This window comes from Homo sapiens, chromosome 13 (genome assembly GCF_000001405.40).
Source record: "Homo sapiens chromosome 13, GRCh38.p14 Primary Assembly".
Lineage (NCBI taxonomy): Eukaryota > Metazoa > Chordata > Mammalia > Primates > Hominidae > Homo > Homo sapiens.
Window position 1 is genome coordinate 58645118 of NC_000013.11, and position 21077 is coordinate 58666194.

A 21077-nucleotide genomic window follows, 5' to 3' on the forward strand; every position below is an offset into this window, starting at 1 on the left:
AATTGTTTATCTCAACTATTTGCTAAAGAATGGCAAAAATGAAACTCCACATAAAAATCTAGTAAGGCCTAATATTTTATATTACTTCACCATGATGTAAAATGAGGTTTCACTAGAACATTTAGCTTCATACATGAGGACTGTATGATTATTCGAAATCAAATGGCATGGCAGTTCAAAATGAGCTTGTTCCTGTTCAGTATGTTTCCCATTTAATCTCATTGTGTCCTTATTTTTTCAGTGCTTTGCTAAGTCGGACTACATAAGCAAGCCTTCCATAGCTAAGACTCTGTGTCTTCCTTGTTTCTGGATAGCTGAAGTAATGTCTTCTCACAACGGTCTATAAATGATAGTACTACTACTTACAGAACCACTTAAATGATGGTTCCATACCCACTTGCAATATTGATATTTTAAAGGAGGGCTGAGTAGTGCCCAGAACTAAAAGATTTGATCGGTGAAGATGGGTCTATCTCCTGGGAGATTTTTTTTTTTTTTTTTTTTTTTTTTGAGACAGAGTCTCGCATGGTCGCCCAGGCTGGAGCGGAGTGGGGCGATCTCGGCTCACGGCAAGCTCTGCCTCCCAGGTTCAAGCGATTCCCCTGCCTCAGACTCCTAAGTAGCTGGGACTACAGGCGTGCGCCACCACGCCCAGCTAATTTTTGTATTTTTAGTAGAGACGGGGTTTCACCGTGTTGGTCAGGATGTTCTCGATGTCTTGACCTCGTGATCCGCCCGCCTCGGCATCCCAAAGTGCTGGGATTAAAGGCGTGAGCCGCCGTGCCAGGCCTCTTCTGGGAGATTTTAACGTAGCTATTTCTACAAATGGGAAAAGCTCTGTACTCAGAAAAATGCAAAATATGAGTCTTAGAAATGGCTTTTGGGATACAGTGGTTATTGATATATAAAAAGGTATAAAATACAAAGTAAAAGGATATAAATTCAATTTGAAGGCAGCTCAAAAGTAATTTTACACGCACAGGGTAATTATAACACATGGAGAATAATTATAAAGGTATTTTTGATGGGCTCTTGTGCAGTGATATCATACCATGGACCAGGCTGTGATAGAAACACATATCTCAACCTATGTACTGAAATTTTGCAACAATTTCAGGCCTCATTTTTCTTGTAATACAAATGGGGCTAATACAACTTGTCATCTACTTCATAAGGAATATTATGAGGATTCATGAGATCATTAAATGAAAATTCTCCAAGTGCTTAATTTACTCACTGGCAAGAACTCAAAATTCCATTCACCTTTTCAGGGCATTAGAGCATACATGGTCCACAACGAGTTAATATATGTGCTTAATTTTCTTCCATCTATCTAGACAATCCTAGACCTGTGTGTGATACATAAATATGATTATTTATAATGTGTTATGAAATCCTATGGTAAGATGCAGAATTGCTGTTTAAGTAAATGAAAATAAATCTATTTTAACAGCAGCTTTAAAAGTCATCAGAATGGTCTGATACTACTTTGTCTCATGCTATGTATGGGGAACTAAAGTTTAAAGGGTCATAAGTATAAAAGTGCAGACCATCAGAAGTAACATTAAAAGGACTACGTTATACATTAGCAGTTTTTTGTGCCTTTTCTTGTGATAGAAACCATTCGATTACTCTTTTTAACTAAACATGATCTGTAATGGAGATTAATTATAAAGGTATTTTTGATGCAGCATTTACAACCTATTGTCAAATTCCAAGCTAGGGGATAAGAAAGGCTGTATCACTGAATGTCCTATTTATGATCTTTTAAAATAAATTCTCGTTCTTTTGTGTAGTAAACATCTTGACAACATAAAAGCTTATAGCAATGTTCTAAGATATTCAGATGTGAAGATTATGAATGTTTGACACAGCCCCTTATTGGGCTCTTGTCTGAGAATCAGGATAGAAACCTTCACACAGGGAAATGGCTCTGTGGCAATCAGGCAAGATGACTGCTCCCAGGACATTGCATGTCAGAACACAAGACCAGTAACCCTCAGAGGCAAGGGGTGTGCCAACTTACAGGACCCCAAAACTCATGCTTTTATGACAATGCCACACTGCTTTTCCCAAAAAGCTAAAATAAACAATATTTAAATCTGGTTTTCAGAAGGATATGAGTTGTTCATAAACCTGATACAGACTGGCAACTAACTCATTTGCTCAAGAAAAAGAAAAATTTTTTGTATTTGGTTTTGATAATAGAAGTACACTTTTAAAAAGAAAATAGATTAGCTCTGTCAAAAGACTTAAAGCACAGAGCCAAAATGAATACTAGAAGGGAAAAACACTATTGATATTCACAGAAATGAAAATATTTTATAGGAAAATGTCATAACTGTGACATTAATTATGTAATTCAACATGTGACAGTCATCTTCCAATTAAACAAATATTTCATAAAATCAATTCACCTATACTGCTGGGGACTCTGTGGAATATTTGGAACAGATACTATTAGGAGAAAATGTAGCTGAAAAAGAATTATCTCTTTCATCACAAGCTGTACTATTCCTGAAATTGACTCAATTGCTACTTGCTAGGCTTAGATATAAAACCATATTTCATACATGAAAATAAACTTAATCAAAATCTTTTGAAGCAGATTTGGAGGTATCAATAGTTTCTAAATTACTAATAATTGTAAAACTCTTTCAAAAACACCTAGTTTTTCTGCTCACTTACCTTCAAACATAAACAAACACATCTTAAAAATCTCAACTCAAGTATATTGAAAGAAATAAAATGTATTCCTATTTTTTATAACTCCAACTTTAGGATGGTATGCATTAATAGGAAATATAATAAAGTTTTTAGGACCCCTGGATTCTAGTTGCTTTTAGAACCCTCCCTTATGAACAAGGGAAATAGGCTAAATAATTTTAGTTTTTAAAAATCTCAGTTTGCCATATATACAAACATGTTCAATTATTCTTAAATTTGTACTCTTTCAGATTTCATTTTAAATATTTTCCAACGATGCACCTGACTTACATTGCATTTTTTATTTACTATATTCAATAATTTTGCCTCCTTAGCTTAACATTTTTACACAGTTGGTCAACACATAGATTGGTCAACTACTAATGAAACAAAATATAAGTGCCTTGTATTTTTACCTCTACAATAATGGGTTTATATTGTGAACAGAAGTGTGCTAATACCCTGCTCTTAGACTAATAGCTATGGTATATCAAATAGAGTCTTTCTTCTTATAGCTTTATGTAGCTGCTTCTAATAATTCATAGTTATACATATTTTAACACTATGGCATAAACAAAGTTAAATGGGGCAAAAGGAAAATTAGGATCTTGCCCTGAAAAGGTAAATGGAATATTCAAAAATATTAAAATGCCCAATAATTATATCACAGATAATTTCCTGACACTTTCCCACCCCAAGTTAAAATCTAGCCCCCACTATGGACTATCATGGCATCTATTCCAAGACCTCAGTCCATTTTATAATTATATCGCTTATGATTATTTGATCAATGCCTGTCTTCCTTGCTGGACTAGGAGTGAAGGTCTGTTTTGTCTTTTTGTTCTACTTCCAGTGTCTACCTGAGTGACTAGTGAACTGCAGGCATTGAATATTTATTGAATTAATGAACAAGTAAATAGTCGCTAGTCATTTCCTCATTTTCCTAATTTTTTCACCAAAATTTACTAGTCACTCTATTTAGAGGAAAAAATGAAATATTTTGAAGTAAAATAGCTATATACAGAGAAATGTGACTTAATAGTATTGTGCACCTTATTATAAAGTCTATTCTATCTCAAAAGAGAAGTAGTATATAGGTACACTGCTTTTTTTTTTTTTTGGCAGAGTCTTGCTCTGTCACCCCAGCTGGAATACAGTGTTCTCGATCTCGGCTCACTGCCAACCTCTGCTTCCAGGGTTCAAGCGATTCTTTTGCCTCAGTCTCCTGAGTAGCTGGGATTACGGGCATGTACCACCACACCCAGCTAATTTTTGTATTTTTAGTAGAGTTGGGGTTTCACCATGGCCAAGCTGGTCTCAAACTCCTGACCTCAGGTGATCCGCCCACCTTGGCCTCCCAAAGTGCTGGCATTACAGGCGTGAACCACCGTGCCTGGCCTTACCTTTCCTTTTTTGATAAAAATTAATAAAAAGAAAACCATATTTGTTGATGCAACAGTTTATTATTGTTTCTGGACATTAGTTTGGGACATTCTGGACATTCTGGACATTAGTTTCTGGACATTCTGGACATTAGTTTTCTCCAAATACCTTTCTGTCTAAATCAAGTTCTTAACCCACTATAAATAAGTACTTGACTATGTCCGATTATTTTTGTAGGCAAAGAATTGAGATTATAAAGAATGCTCAATGCCTATTCCAGTATTTAAGGTGAATATTCTAAATATATTAATAAGATCAACCCTATATAAAATGAGATCCAACCACTTATACAGATTTAATTTTCTGTACTCAAAATCAGAAAATAACAAAATTAGCATGATGGCTCAAGAAAATATTTATAATATTCATGGACTTATTTTGGAGATTGTACATCAGTCAGGATATACTTTCTCTATACCTCATCTCTCATTTCTTTGTACGGTCTTCATTTCTAGGAATCACAAACGTGTCCAGTGACAGCTCTAGGTTTGCACAGCCTGTAAAGAGGGAATCCTGAAGTGAAGATTAGCTCCAGCTAACACCATAGAAATGATTCCTTTTGGCTGCATCTCTGATCTACTTTAGCGTGGTCAAGTTACATCAGATTTTCAGCTCTATGTGAGAAAATAAGGCCCATGGGATTGGGAAGCAGCTGCCCCCAAATGGTAAAACAAATTCTCCAAAAGGATTAAAAAAAAAAAAGAAAGAAAGAATATCCTCCACCAAGGGCTCTACTTTTCTCAGAAAATTATATTATTAATTAAATATTTGCACTTGCATATGCACTTCCACAAGAGGACTAAGCCATTATAAGCATATTCAAGGACATAATCTCTTTCTTATATAATTTTACTTTTTAACTTTTAAAATAATTAAGATATTCTGGGAAGGAATTAGGAAAAGCCAACTCTGTAACAAAAACTTGCCTTCATTTTTCTGGTGCAATACATTTGCCTTAAAAACAAATGACAGTTCTGCACAATAATCTCCATTTGATGAGAGGAACCTTTGTTGAAATGATCATTGTTGAAGGAAAGTAGAAGGATTCAGTATACCTCAAATCCTTTTTTTCACACAGAGTGTGTATAGCTGATATTGGGCACTGTTGTTTGCACATAATCTGATGCATGTGGGAAATCTAATTTAATGGAATTTATTACACAGTCTCTAGAGGGGACAAGGATGCAATACCAATGGATGTGAATTTCATGGTGCTCTTTTCACCAAACAACAGTCTTTCTACTTAAAGTTTAGACTCCTGACTCCCCAAAATAGTTAAGATTGCCATTCAAAATAGAAAATTAGCCATGTATGTATAAGCACCTTTAAAGCTACTCTTCTATGAAATCAATTTATAAATATATACATATACATACACATATACACACACACGTGTATGTGTGTATGTGTGTGTGTATATATTTATATGTGTGTATATATTTATATCTTTATGTGTGTATGTATGTGTGTGTATTTATATATTGACTTCACAGAAGAAGGTGCTAAAGGTGCTGATAAACATCTAATATTATCTTCTCACTCTAGGATAGACCATGTTCTTCACATTTTACAGGCAATATATTCGGTCTATTCATTATCTCCAGTGAAAATGATAAAAAATTAATTGAAAATTTATATTGTAAAAATATATATTTCACTGTATTTCTTTCATATTGTATCATGAAATATATCAGTATTAAAAATGTTCCTAGTAAGCCTGAGAGTACTTATATGAACATTTGTCACATACAATATTTAACAGATGTCTCATTTCAGTGTTTCTATTACTAGAGAGTGTCAGCAATGATCTGGTGGATAGTGCATTACACCAGGAGCCAGAAAACCTGGATTCTTAAGTTCTTGGCTCTGCTGTTGCTATTAAATAACATCAAACAATTCCTGGATCATCTGTACCTCATTTTATCCATCTTCCAAACAAAGGGGAATATTTTTTCCTCCTGTAAAGTGTTATCAGGGAATGGTGAACATGGTTAAACAACTCAGATTTCAAATTTCAGGTCTAAAGTCAAGATGATGGTCAAAAATTTGATATCTTATTTATGTAGATACTAGAAATTAAGGAGCAAGGCATTCTTGGAAGACTATCAATACCAACCCAAAGTCTTAAATTCTTGGCTCTGATGCTGACTATTAAATAACACCAAACATTTCTGAATCATCTGCTCTTCATTTTATTCACCTTAAAAACAGAAGGGATATTTTTCCTGCTATAAAGTGTTACCAGGAAATAGTAAACATAGTTAAATATCTCATATTTAAAATTTCAGGTCTGAAATCAGGATGGTGATAAGGAATTCAAATTCTCATTTATGTAGGTATCAGAAATTAAGGAGAAAAGCATTCCTGGAAGACTATCACGACTAAAATTATAGGAATTGAACTGGCAGAAGAAACCATGGTCTGGCAATTCTTCCTGAGTGAAGAAGTAACCACTTGTCTGTACAGAAGAGCTGGCAGGTGTGCAAGTGATCATGTGATGATGTAACAATGCACCCAGCTACTTGCACTCTTTGCATAGAATGTGATCTCTTGAAACCGTAGTCCTAAAGCAGGGGCTTTGAGATCTGTGGTTCAGCGGTGGTTCATGTGTCCTTTACAGTCTTAAACCTCACAGTCTCCACTGAAAATTCAAATTCTTTGTCACATGCCATTGCTGTAAGAGAATAGTAAGAGGAAGATGAAAATGTGTAGTATTTTCAATAGCTGTAACAGACCAGAGAATTAGAGTAACAATTCTAAGAGCAAGTAACCTAAAAGTATAGTTGGTGTTGGAATAATGCAACATTAAAGACTCTTGAGATTATCTTATTTCATGCTCAGGGTCCTCAAGAATACACTAGTTGCAGTGATTTTCAACACTTGCCTCACATAAAAAGCATTTGGGAATATGTGGTTAAAAAACTCTTGTGTACATGCCACACTCCAGGCCAACTAAATAAGAGTTTTCAGAAATGATTTCTGGATCTTGGTGTTTCAAAAGTTGTACAGGTGATTCTAACTTGCATCCAAGTTTGAAAGCCACTGATCCAGTGCGGTGTACAGCTCCTAACGATAAAAACTGCTTCTTGACTGCTGAAAAGAAAAATCACAAAATATCTCTCTTCTTTCTCTTAAAAGAGCTGAATGCTATATATATATATGTGTGTGTGTGTGTGTGTGTGTGTGTGTACATATGTGTAAACCGCTCCTAAAACTCTTAAAGATTAACAACTAAGCCAATGTTTATTGACCTCTGGCAGAGTAGGGTACAATCCAAAGATTCAGTTTTTCACTCATCTGAGTCTATATTATCCTTTGAAATGCATGCATATAAACTCTGGTACTTCCACTCTGGGACTGTCTGCACAGGCTAAATATTACTTTTAAAGCCATTGCCTTAAAGTCCTCAAAGGAAGCTTTCTTCTCTAATTATTGATTTTTTTGTCATCAAAAGAGTTATTCTTTTTGATTAGGGACCTAAGTGGTAACATGAATACTCTGACCTACATTCATGGCCCATATCCATCATTTATTTATTCAACACAGTATAGTATCATCTTAGAAATGTCACCAAATTTGCTTATTCCTGTAAAACACTGATAGAGAGTGTCACATGCAGGCTTTCTTTCTAGGTAGATATATATTAAACTAATTTTTCAATTATCTACTTCAAACATCACTTTGATTCTTTAAATAGTTCTAAAAAGTAATTTATTTGCTTACTTAAGATTTTTCTTTGGGTTTTCTCACTTGCTAAAGCAGATTCTAGAAAGAATTGTCACATAACTTGCAACAGAGTCTAATTGCTGATCAGGTTGTACAAGTTTGAGTGGTCGGCTGCTTGATACCTAGCTAAAAGTCTTGTTGAAGAATCTTTAAAGAGAAACCATCTGGATTAAGGTAGTTAGATTTCCTTTGCTCCCCAAAGGGTTCATATGGCTTATGCTTCCAGCCCAATGTCACCATTTTAAACAGTGGAACATCCTAAGAAAATATAAATTGCAATAATACATTTAGTGTATCGATATTATTACCTTTTTATGCATACATTACAGAGAAAGCATGAAAGACATATTTTGTTGATTTTTCTCTTGAACAACTAAGTTATTTTATTTTATTTTATATATTGGCTTATTACCTTTCAACCCAAGCTTAACTTTCTGTATTCTGTTTTGTGACACTGAGACTGATAGTCTGCACACTGTTTCCCAGACTCATTGCTACCTCACTGTCTGGTAGTGTCTGAGCCTGGAGGGAGTTTAGAAAGCAGGACAAGGAAGAAACAGATTTCTTTTTGGTCTCCAGTTTCTGCTGCTTCCTTCCTGTAACAGGGGCCAGGTACCACTCCAGGCCCCAGCTCATTGCAGCATTCCTGTTATCACCTGCCATGCATCCCTCAGAGGTACCAGCTGGTCAGATTACCAGCTATAACACTCTTCCATGTCAGAGGTACCAGCACCAGCACCAGTGGCACTACACCACTTTCCATGCTGTTCTAGTGATTACAATCTTGTTCTTTGTTGTTTGAGCCCTAAGGGTGGGTAACTGATTCCTGTAGTTACTAATATCTGTGTCACTTTAGCATTTTCTTTTTTGTTGTTGTTTAAGCCTTCCAACACTTATGTGACCATTTTTCGGGGGGAGGTATCAAATCCTCTCTATTAGAAAAATACCTACAGTGGCTTCAGTTTTCCCAGCCAAACCCTGACTCTGATATAGGATGAATTATGTAACTTTTATTTCCATCTTCAAAGAGATTTATTGATTTGAAAAACAACAGGGAACTATTTAATTGACATTAATTTGGGGAGCAATGCAGTGATGCTGTACACAGGAAGCTTACAGTAAGTGAAGGTATCCAATGCTACCTAGTGGATGAGGAAAATGATGTCCCAGACAAGATGATGATCTGATTTTCCAGGAAGGGTTTCACAAGAACCCTAATGGTGCAAAACACATGACAAATTATACATGAAATGATATGTATCAGGACCAGATATGTCATTTGCAGGGCTGAGTGCAAAATGAAAATGCTGGATCTGCTATTTTAAAAACATATAAAAATTACAGCACGGCAGCAGCAGAACTTTAACTTTGCCCTTTACAGAAGACTTTGCCCAATCTCTGGACAAGTGTCATGGACTAGATACTAGACATAGAAAATTTATTAAATGCCTTATTAACTCTGGTGCTCTTTATTTTACCAGGTAACTGGAATAATTACCTTTCCCAATCACTTTTATCTCAAAATATGTGAAAATTAGGCCAAAGGTTTCCAAGTTTTAGATCAGAAAATCATAATCATTAGCTGTTTCCATGCAAATAAGGAAACCCTTGGAAAGTTATCAAAATTCCAGATAAGCAGTTCAGCATTGTGTGTAAAAAAGTAAGCATTTCAATATAAATACAATGTAAATAAGATACTCTTTAACAATCCACGGTAGTCCAAGCACAGTGGCTCACGCCTGTAATCCCAGCACTTTGGGAGGCCGAGGTGGGCAGATCTCTTGAACCTAGGAGTTGGAGACCAGCCTGGGCAACATGGCAAAACCCTTCTCTACAAAAAATACAAAAAATTAGCCAGACATGGAGGCATACAGCTGTACTAGAGAGGCTGAGGTGGGAGGATCACTTGAGCCTTGGAGACAGAGGTTGCAGTGAGCCATGATTGTACCACTGTACTCCAACATGGGTGACAAAGCAAGACCTTATCTCAATAAATAAATAAATAAATATCTGCATTATCTGAAAGTTTTGTGGCTGAAAAGCCACTACTTTTCTCTTACAGCATTTACAGATCCCACGCCAATGAGCATGTCTGTGTACCACTTCTATAAATGGCACATTAGTCTGGCTAGCAGAGGCCAACATTTATTGTTAGTTTTTGGAAAATTCATCTAAAATAACTGGACAATTATATAAAAGCTTATCCATAAAACAAAGTAAATCTTATTATCAGCACCATGCTCAGAAATTACCAACTTTCATTTTAATGACCTCCAGATGCATTGCACAATAGCAGTTCCTCATTTCAGGAAAATAGAAGTAGAATAACTATGCACGGGGGAGTTAACTAGAGAAGTATTCAATTCTTCAAAAATGCAATTTTACTTCAAGCATAGGCAGTCAGGGATGAGTTGTGAGTTTAGAACTCACCTAATGTTTTTTATTTGAATGGAGGGAAAGTTCAAATGAAGAAAATTCGACGTATTCTTTTCTCTGCCAAGAGTTGGGATTTTAACACACATATTATGTTGCTCGTTTAGAAAACATACACAATGGTATTCAGTTTAGTTTTAAACTGTGAATCAGAAATAAAAAATAACAACAGATGGAGAAAATAAAATTGAATTCCTAGTATATTGCAAACAAGCTTAAATACTGTGTTCAGCTCCCATGTGGTGTGCTATTTGGTCTGAAGGGCTGAATGTGACAAATGTTACCAGTGACTCACAGTCCATGTCTACCTGTAGCCACAAAATCCAATGTTTTGTGATCAGCTTTTTTGCTTTTTTAAAAAATGTTAATTGCTATCTACATATTCTAACAAACTTTGAGGTTGTTTCAAATCATAATAAGAATGTATTGAACAAAATGTAGCCATCACCTGAGTTGTTTTATTTTGTGTTGTTCAAAGACAGCCCATTCTATTGATCACCAAATGTGGTGGAGGGTCATTTTTGTAAGGCCTGAGATATCTATCAGTGTATGACATTTCAAATGTTTTCTACACCAGAGAATACACACATGCACACACACACAGACACAATTCTACATCTTTTGCCATTTCTATGCCTGTTGTATCCTGAAGTGATATTTTCATGAAAGATTCTACTGAGACCTGTGTCATGGCACTTTCATTATTGCTTTCAAGCATGCTCCCTACACAGACTTTCATTAACCTATACTCTGTTGCAAAATTTTTTATCATAGTGATTCAGGATTTTTCTTATTCCCTTCGTCAAACTTATGACAGGGGTAACCCATTTACTCAACCCGCTGCACTCAACCCCTTTCAGGAGGGAGAACGTGAATGAGCAAGTGCTGGATTCGCCAGACGTTCCAAGCACGGACACAGGAGCAAGCTTCTTGAGGTGCCTGTGGCGACACCCAGGTGGGGTTGCCTATGACAACCCCAGAGGAGGTGCTACAGCGATCTCTTAGTTCCACCGTCTGTAGATGGTGGTGTGTTAGCAGCTCAGTTGGCACCTTGTGGTGGCACCTGGGTGAGGATGCCTGTGACCCCATGCCCCAGAAAGGGCCCTTTAGTTATGTTGTCCATAGTCTGATGTCGGTGGCATGTTAGACACTCAGTTGGCCCCTTCCCTTGTTTCCTGGCCTGGCTGCCCTCTGCCTGCAAGGTCAAGGGCCAATATGACAGCCTTTTCTGGGTACCCGCCCTCAGTGAGTCCCGAGCTCTTGTCTGGTGTCCAAGAAGAGAACCTCATGACCATGAGGTCACATGGATGCTTAAAGAGTGGTGAAAGAGGAGAATTTTGTGAAAGGATGAAAACAGCTCTCAGCAGAGAGGGAAGCTGGAGAGGGGATGGGAAGGACAGATTATCTTCCTTTAAGTCTGAGGTCTTATAGGCACAGGATGGGTAATAGGCACAGAATGGGGCATGCATGCTGATTGGTTTGTAAGTATGCAAAAAAGGTTAAAGCAAAGACACCTACTCAAAGGTGGGTATGACAGTGTAGAAAACCAATTAGGAAAAGGTAGGCATATGTAAAACAGGTGAAGGGTGGGGATCAATTAGAGGAACGTGCACCAAACAGGAAGACAAGTTCCCAATCCAGTCAGAGCATTTCATGTGTAGTTTTGCTTTCAGGCTTTAAACTGTCTTTGGTTTGTAGGTGGGGTTTCACTGGGTACCCACTCCTATCTGCCTAGGTATTTGGCTGCCTCCAACTGCTCTCAATAGTATAAGATGCATACAGAACAGTACACAAATCAAAATCTGAAGCTCAACAAACTTCACAAGTAGAAGATATTCCTTTGACCAGTATGTATATAAAGGAGAATATGCAGCCCAATGGATGCCCTGTACTCCTTCCTTTTAGTCACAACCAAAGTGCCAATGTCATGAATCCTAACCTCAAATATTACTTTTGAAATTTTAAAATTTTATTTAAATAAAATTATACATATGTGTCCTCTGGTATATCTGGTTTATTACGTTCATTCCTCTGCTTTTGGAATTTATTCACATTGTAGCATAAGTTTCCGTTTTGATTTTTATTTTCTAGAGTGTTACCATCATATTATGGATCAAGATCCTTGTTCTCCTCTTCAAATTCCTTCAATATATCATCCTGTATTAGTTATCTTTTATTATCTTCAATTTTAACCAATTTTTTACATTTACTTTGTGTGATTTACCATTCTTGGCATTGTGAGAATAAAATTTTTGCTAAAAATATGTCTATGTCTTAAGGAATTTAACATTTAATGGAGGGTACCATTTATAACAAACTCAAATGTCATACACAATTACAGAAGCTCTAAATAGAGGTAAAAGAAATATATTACAAATGTGATTTAGTAAGACAGTCTTATTTTGCCTAAGAAGATCACAGAAAAGTTCATTCAAAAATTTACCTTCACTTTTGAGAAGGATTTAGGTAGCTAATGAAACAGTATAGGGCACTGCTGGCTGAGGGCAGCACATGAACAATGTCTTGTAATACAAAACTGAAAAGGATTTGTCAGAAATGATTATGATGAGCTGCACTAGCTGATTCTGCTGGCAAGATAACTTGAGACATATTTCTGAGGGACTTGTTCCTCATGCTAGGAGTGGTTCAGTTCCTCTCCCCATTTCCTTCTCTCCTTTTGCAAACTTTAGCCTGTCCTGTTTGTCCCGTAATTATTCACTGTTGAATTTACATCTTGGCTGTCCTTGGATTTTTCCCTATTCTTTTGCTTCCAGTATTTCCATTATTGAAATGAGACCTGATCACACTATCAAAACAAATCAAAACAGATCTAAATGTAAAACAATATGAATATTTTTCTAAATTATTCAGACTTCTCGTTCTCTTGACAATCTCTTCACTTAATCCCAAATTTACTACATAAAATGTCCTATAACAAATTTTATATCTCTATTATATATTTATTTTTGCATGTGATATGGTTTGGCTGTGTCTCCACCAAAATCTCAACTTGAATTGTATCTCCCAGAATTCCCATGTGTTGTGGGAGGGACCCGGTGGGGGGGTAATTGAATCATGGGAGTTGGTCTTTCTTGTGCTATTCTCATGATAGTGGATAAGTCTCATGAGATCTGATAGGTTTATCAGGGGTTTCTGCCTTTGCTTCTTCCTAATTTTTCTTTTGCTGCTGCCATGTAAGAAGTGCCTTTCCCCTCCTGCCATGAATCTGAGGCCTCCCCAGCCATGTAGAACTCTAAGTCCAATTAAACCTCTTTTTCTTCCCAGTCTCTCATATGTCTTTATCAGCAGCATGAAAACGGACTAATACAGTATGTTTTGAATCATATGTCACTAGATGCTCAGTACATGTTTGGAAAATGTTGATAATAAGATTGCAATTAAAAGCCTAAATTATTAGCTAGTATCTCATCTCATACATTTTGCAATATTCCACATCTATGATCTATCCCATTAATTTTTACTGTTATGGCTTAAAAGTCCATCATTACTAGTATTGAGTGTTTTTTAACATAGAAACTAATTTTTAATTATAGCAATTGTTGCCTCCTGCTAAGCATGCAATTATTAACAGCACATACATTGGATCCCATGGTCAGCATGATGACAGAGCTGCTCAAAATAAGTGAAAGTTCTATATGGTTGCAGTAATTTCCTCAATACTGACATTAGTACTAATATTTTTGAAGTTACCCTCCTGGTGTGTCTTGGAAACGTTTTTGTCTTTCTGTGTGTCTGGTTCATGGTTTGCTGTCTTTAGATTTCCATAAGGTAATTGTTGAGCCGTCTTAGTCCCATCCATTCTCATCACCTAATCAGTCCAGTGCAGCAAAGCAACAAAGCACAAGGCTTGAACCTGTAAAAGAAAAGAAGGAATGATGGAAAACTTGTTAAAATCAAGTCAGATGGCAAATTTTGGTGGAAAAAAATGGATCGAATTAATTCTTCATGGATATTAGAAATGCCTGATATAAGGGCTACCAAATCTGAAAAGAATTTCTTGTAGGGAAAGAAAATATATATTCTGCCTGAAATTAATTAAAATATCAATTATAATACTAATAGTAAAATACTTTATAAATGCATATGATTTTTTACTTGAAATGACAAATAGATGCCTGTAAAAAGTTTTGGATATTTGTGTATGCATGAGTTAGTAGGACAAATATTTGATCAAATTAAAATACTAATCTAGTGAAACTCAACTGACTCTTTTCCCTAAATTGATTGACAAAAATAATGGATTGGTGATTTATTCAACAACACACATTTATTTAGCATCTGTTATATATTAAAAACTAAGCTGTTAACAAATGATACAGTTTGGAATGAGATGCTGCTCCTGCCCTTCATTGGATTATACTCCGTTGAAGGGCAGGAGTAAAAACAAGATGAACTTCTCAGACTTCTTTTCCTATAAAATTAGGAAATAATGCACAGCAGGAGCAGAGTGAAAATATTGGTTAAAATAAAAACCATACTACACATTCCTTTGTTTTCTTGTAATGACCCTAGAATGCTCTGTGGGGACCCTTGTAATTCCTAGGAAAATAAGAAGTTTTATCAGTACCACTGTAAGCTTGTGGATGCAAAGCAAACAATTATAATCAATTTGGATGAGTTATTCTCATAACCATATTAAGCTATCACTTGATCTGGAACTGTACCAACTTTGCCCAGAAAATTTCTGAATCATTAAAACAATAGATCTAACTCAACCAATGTTATATAGACAGACTGTTTTTGGGCTAGTTTTTAAAGATTTTTATTGGTTGGAAGAAGGCCTAAAGTCACAAATTAAAAAGGTTGATGTAAATCTATTTTTGTTTTTTTTCTCATGATTTTTTTTTTCTGGTGTGCTAGAGCTGTATTTTTATCTTAATATTATTTACAAGGTTTTGTATCTCTGATTCTCATTCGGGAGAAAATTAGCACCCCATAGCACTAATCCATTTATAAATTATAATCTAAATGACAAAGAAATGATTTCTACATCAGCTATTCCCTAACTGTGTTTCACATGAGAAACCCTAAGTCCTCTTAAGTGAAAATAAATCTTGGTTCTGAGATGTTTTCTAAATGTCTCTAAGGGGACTTTGAAATATTTATATTTTTGAAGCGCCAAATACTGTGTAATGAGTTTAATATTTCTATAGGTTTTCAGATTCAGTTTACAGAGTAAAATGTAATTTAAAACAAGATTATTTTGGATGTCAAGTTACACTGTGCTGATCAAAAGTTGTTGTATATACTATGATTTTTAAAAAATATTTGTATTTGAAACTCCTGTGAATGATTGAATGATACTTTCAAAATCCCTAGAGGGCTTATGTTAATGATCGGGTCTGGACTGATAACAGTAATAATGAATAAGAATCTGTGGGAAAATTCTAATCAACAGGAGCTTTTAAACTTATTGCAAAAATTTCTCTTCTTTGGGGAGTAGGAAATCTGTCCAAGAAAATCAAAAGAGGGATCCAAGTCAAAATCTAATGACAGCTCTTTAAAACTGGGTTAGTTCTTTACAATAATAATAATGAAAAGGATAAGAGAGATAAAGAGACACTTCACAAAAGAAGATGCATAAATAATAAATAAAGTTGTAATGAGGGAACCAGAAATATAACTTATTGTGATTCTCTTTTATTCATTTCCTCCTTTGAGACTTTCCTTTTCCTAGTGAGTCAGAGACAGATTGTTTCCAAGATTATTACACTGGAAATGGAAAGAGCAAAAAAGTCAATGTTGTTCATTAGTATTTTTTTGTTTTTACATCCAAAATGGATCTGAGGCTAGCAGGGTACAAAGTTACTGCTATCTATTAAACTGGAAAGAGAATAATGAAAGACAAAATACCCAACTCCAAAAAATAAGAGTCACAGGTGCTGGGGGGCAGAGGAATGTGAGCATAGTTTTCGAGAGGGTCTGATAGTGGGAAGAAAATAGGAGAAGATGACCTAACCAAGTAAAGGCAGATTTTAAAAAGGTATGCTTTTATCCATCAAGAAGGCAAATGTTTGTTAGCTAAAACTCAGTGTATCCAAAGGCACAATAAACAGACATTTTATTAAGCAGCAACTAGGAGCATATGTCACGTCAAATTCTTTGGAGGTCATTTGACAATTTGTATCAAGGACTATGCAAATGGCCATATCTTTAACAAAGGTTAAGAATTTATTCTGAGGAACTTAGTAGGGGATGTGCATTAAAGCATGAGAGGACTCAAACTTCATAGAAAAATGGAATTAAAAGATAAAGAAAAAATTACACTTTATTTTTCAACATAAACTCCGGGGAGTTCAAGGCACTTTAATAAGTGAGAATACCAGCCATTTTGTCCATCCTTAAAAAACTGAGGGTCCTGGGAATTTAACCATCTTAATGTTGTCTTTTTGACATTAAAGATGGGTGCTGAAGAAAAATGGGTGCTCTTTATTTTTTAAGATTAGGAAATAAAAAGAAGTCAGACAGAGCCAAATCGGGGCTGTAAAATGGATGCCTAATGATTTCCCACTGAAACTCTTGAAAAATTATGATTTTTTGATGAGATGAATGAACGTTGCTGTGGTGGGAAGGACTCTCTGGTGAAGCTTTCCTGGGCATTTTTCTGCTAAGGCTTTGGTTAACTTTCTCAAAATATTCTTATAATAAGCAGATGTTATCATTCTTTGGCCTTCCAGAAAGTCAACAAGCAAAATAGCTTGAACATCCCCAAAAATCTGTTATCATGAACTTTGCTCTTGACTGATTCCTTTTTGCTTTGACTGGGCCACTTTCACCTCTTGACAGCCATTGCATTTGTTTTTGTCTTCAGGACTTTACTGGTAAAGCCGTGTTTCATCTCCTGTTTTCTTCAAATAAATGCTTTAGGATTTTGATCCCACTTGTTTAAAATCTCCATTGAAAGCTCTGCTCTTGGCCAGGCACAGTGGCTCACGCCTGTAATCCCAGCACTTTAGGAGGCCAAGGCAGGTGGATCAGGATCACCTGAGGTCAGGAGTTCAAGACAAGCCTGGCCAAGATGGTGAAACCCTGTATCTACTAAAAATACAAAAATTAGCCGGGTGTGGTGGCAGGTGCCTGTAATCCCAGCTACTCGGGAGGCTGAGGCAGAGAATTGCTTGAACCCAGGAGGTGGAAGTTGCAGTGAGCCAAGATCGCACCACTGCACTCCAGCCTGGACAACAGAGTGAAACGCCATCAAAAAAAAAAAAAAGAAAGAAAGAAAGAAAGAGAGAGAGAGAGAAAGGAAGGAAGGAAGGAAGGAAGGAAGGAAGGAAGGAAGGAAGGAAGGAAGGAAGGAAGGAAAGAAAAGAAAGAAAGAGAAGGAAGGAAGGAAGAAAGAAGGAAAGAAGGAAAGAAGGAAAGAAAGAAAAGAAAGAAAGAGAAAGAAAGCAAGCAAGAAAGACAGGAAGGAAGGAGAGAAGGAAAGAAAGAAAAAGAAAGAGAGAGAGAGAAAGCTCTGCTTCTGTTTTCAGTTAATCTGGGCACAATGGTTTTGGCACTCATCCAGTGGAAACATTTCTCAACTTTAATTTTTCAGCCAGAATTGTCCAAGCTGAACCAGTTGAGATATCTATGGTGTTGGAATATTGTTTCTGCTGTGAATCCGCTGGTTCTTTCCAATTAGCACACAAATAAGATTAGTTTTTTCCTCACAAATTAATGTGGATGGTCTGTCGCTTCCAGCTTTATTTTCAATGTCTTGTCCCTTCTTAAAATGAGTTATTCATGTGTAAACTGCTGATTTCTTTGGGGCATTGTCCCTATAAACTTTTGGTAAACCATTAATGATTTTACCATTCTTCCACCCTAGATTATTCATAAATTTGATGTTTGTTCTTGTTTCAATTTTAGCAGAAAAATAATGTTGCTCTGATAGGGCCTTTTTCAAACTGATATCTTATCCTTCTTAGTGCCTCAACCTAGATTCTATTCAGAGGTTACAAAAAGCTACTACTATGAGTTTATTTTGGTGTAAAATATTTTTGAAATTTATACATAGTTTTTTCATAATATTCATTTTTCATGAATTTTTGAAGACCTTTTTTATTACCAACCTACCATTAAGGCATTATTTATAATATTACAGAATTTAAAACTGCCTAAATGTAAACAATAGGATATTTTAAAATAGTGTTATATCCATAGAACAGAAAAATTTGCAAGTAAATTATATTATATTCGTAAGAATATGTTCATATTTCATATGTATTCATATATGTTGAAATATATATTTCATGTATTCATATATAAGATATATAATATATATGAAATATATATCTTTGAAATATATATGAATATACAAAAACATATATATGAAATATATATATTTGAAATATGTGTGAATATATAAAAACATATGAAATATATATTTCATATATGGAATATATTCATATTTTAAAATATATTCATGTTTTTAGTAAATTTTGTTCTATGTTGCATAATAGACTAGAATTGTGTCTTCTTTAAGGGGGAGTATGTTTTAGGCTACCATGAGCATCATTATGCTTCTGTGGATCAGTTGATTGCTGGCTGAGGTTTCAGAGAATTTTGCAACATTACACACACAGGTCAACTGTGATGTGTCTTCACATAGCCTGCTCAGAACGTTCCTATGATAACTCTATAGCATTTCTCCAATTCCAGCACATATTCCTGGTTTCCCAGTGCTTGATCCAACTACTCAATAATCATCTCCTCTGATATTTCAATTTTATTTCTTTATTGGCCAAATTATGAAATAGAATGGTTGTCTTTTAGAATACACCTTGAGTTAAGGTAATATCAAGTGCAACAGAATCTCCCTTTGGGGAAATTTCATAACATCTAAGAACAGAGTTAAAAGAAAAGAATGAGATGACTGACTCAGTGGAGTTGACATCTGTTTTTTTTTTTCATATACAGGTTTTCAGACACTAAAAACAGTACACTTCTACCTGTGTTATGCTGCCTACATCTAAATATTCAGTTATATCCTCAAATAACCTTTTTTATCCCAATGCTTACTCTACTGAGAAAAGTATCTAAAGCATTAGAAAATGATTACTACGACACTATCAGATGAAAGAAGATCTAATCTAGAAATGATAGACTCACTATAAATTTTTCAGAACTAATTGTTAGAGCATAGAGTTTAGAACTTACATGTCAGGCAAATACAATGATTTCACCTCCTCTTCAAACAAAAATGCCAACATTTTTTTGACTAGTAGACGACACCAATTAAAGGTAAAAAAAACAATTTAGTGAAAATGCATTGCATAATGATTAGAGTTTATTGATAAAATATTCATTTAAGAAAGATATAGTGAAATCAAAACGTCTGTGAAAATTTCTTTTTTGAGAAGTACCACTTCTTCAGTGATAACTTTCTTAAAAGACGAAAACTTAAATGCACCAGCTTTCCTCTTATTATTTTAGTAAGCAAGGTAAAAACAAACAGATGTGAATAATAATGGCAGCTGGTTGATTCATTATGATGTAATTAAGGGCTTATTAAGAGATGGTAGAAGCTGCTGCTCTGCCAAGATTCAGGACATTGTTTTGTCTTTAAGAGAAGTCAATTAAATGTTGTTGCTGTATCAATTAGGGTACTTTTAGTTAAAATGTTAAAAAAATACACAATGTATTTTAAACAATAAAGAAAATTGTTGTATCATATAACTGAAAAGTTCTTCTACACAACATGTTTCTAAATTAAAATTCTACGCAAAAGATAAAAGCATCTATTTCAACAATAGCTCGAGTTAGAAATTGAATTGCAGTAGCCCTGATATCTCTGACTTAGGCTCCCCAGTAATAGATTTTGGAACACATTGATTGGCTCATGTTATTTTGGGATTGCTCTAGGAGGAGGAGTGGGGTCTTTCCCAATGAGTCCAAGAAATTAAGGATCCATCCAATTCAAGAAGAGTCGACAAATCTAGTGGTTACTCCATTTGCCACTCAAAGTCATTTTGGATTTTCAAAATGGACCAGCATTTCTGATTGCCTATTTCTTAAAACTTTCTCCATACCAAAAGGTAAAATTTTAAATCCAGATTAAGCTTCACTATGAAAATTTTTCCCATACTTTTTGGTAGGATTGTGTGTGTTTTAAAGAGAACCTTGAAAGTCAGAGAGTGGCCGTAATCTAAGCCTTAGACCCTACGGGGTATCAGGTAAGGTCATGACAGAAGCTGAAGTGATGTCTCAGGGTCAACTTTAGCTCTATAGAGCATCTGACTTAAGTTCTACAGGATAAGATATTTGAAAAATTACAATATTCATAGTCAAAACACCTGATTTCTAGTCAAAGTTATAAAATCCTATAGGTTATGTGACATTCTCTCTGTGATGCAGAAACTTTATCTATCAAGTAAGTAGTTCCAAGATATTTCCGTCAACATCAAGTGCAACTATTTTATAATGTGCTTTATAAACTGTCAGGTTGGGCCGGGCGTGGTGGCTCACCTCTGTAATCCCAGCACTTTGGGAGGCTGAGGCAGGTGAATCACAATGTTTGAGACCAGCCTGGCCAACGTAGTGAAACCCCGCCTCTAATAAAAATATGAAAAATTAGCTGGGTGTAGTGGCACATGTAATCCCATCTACTTGGGAGGCTGAGGCAGGAGAGTGGCTTGAACCTGGGAGGCGGAGGTTGTAGTGAGCTGAGATCACGCCACTGCACTTTAGCCTGGGTGGCAGAGTGAGACTCCATCTCAAAAACAAAAACAAAAACAAAAACTGTGAAGTCCTCTACATATAAA

At 35.5% G+C, this 21077-nt stretch overlaps 1 long non-coding RNA gene across 1 annotated transcript in view; it reads right to left on the reverse strand.

The window, feature by feature from the left end:
- Positions 1 to 8009: 8009 nt before the first annotated feature.
- Positions 8010 to 21077, reverse strand: part of LOC105370219 (uncharacterized) — a 31681-nt gene continuing 18613 nt past the window's right edge. Inside the window, exons 2-3 of the long non-coding RNA XR_941985.2 lie at positions 14020 to 14182; positions 8010 to 8133 (exon numbers count right to left, since the gene is read on the reverse strand). This is a non-coding gene — a long non-coding RNA (uncharacterized LOC105370219). The remainder of the gene's footprint in view (positions 8134 to 14019; positions 14183 to 21077) is intronic.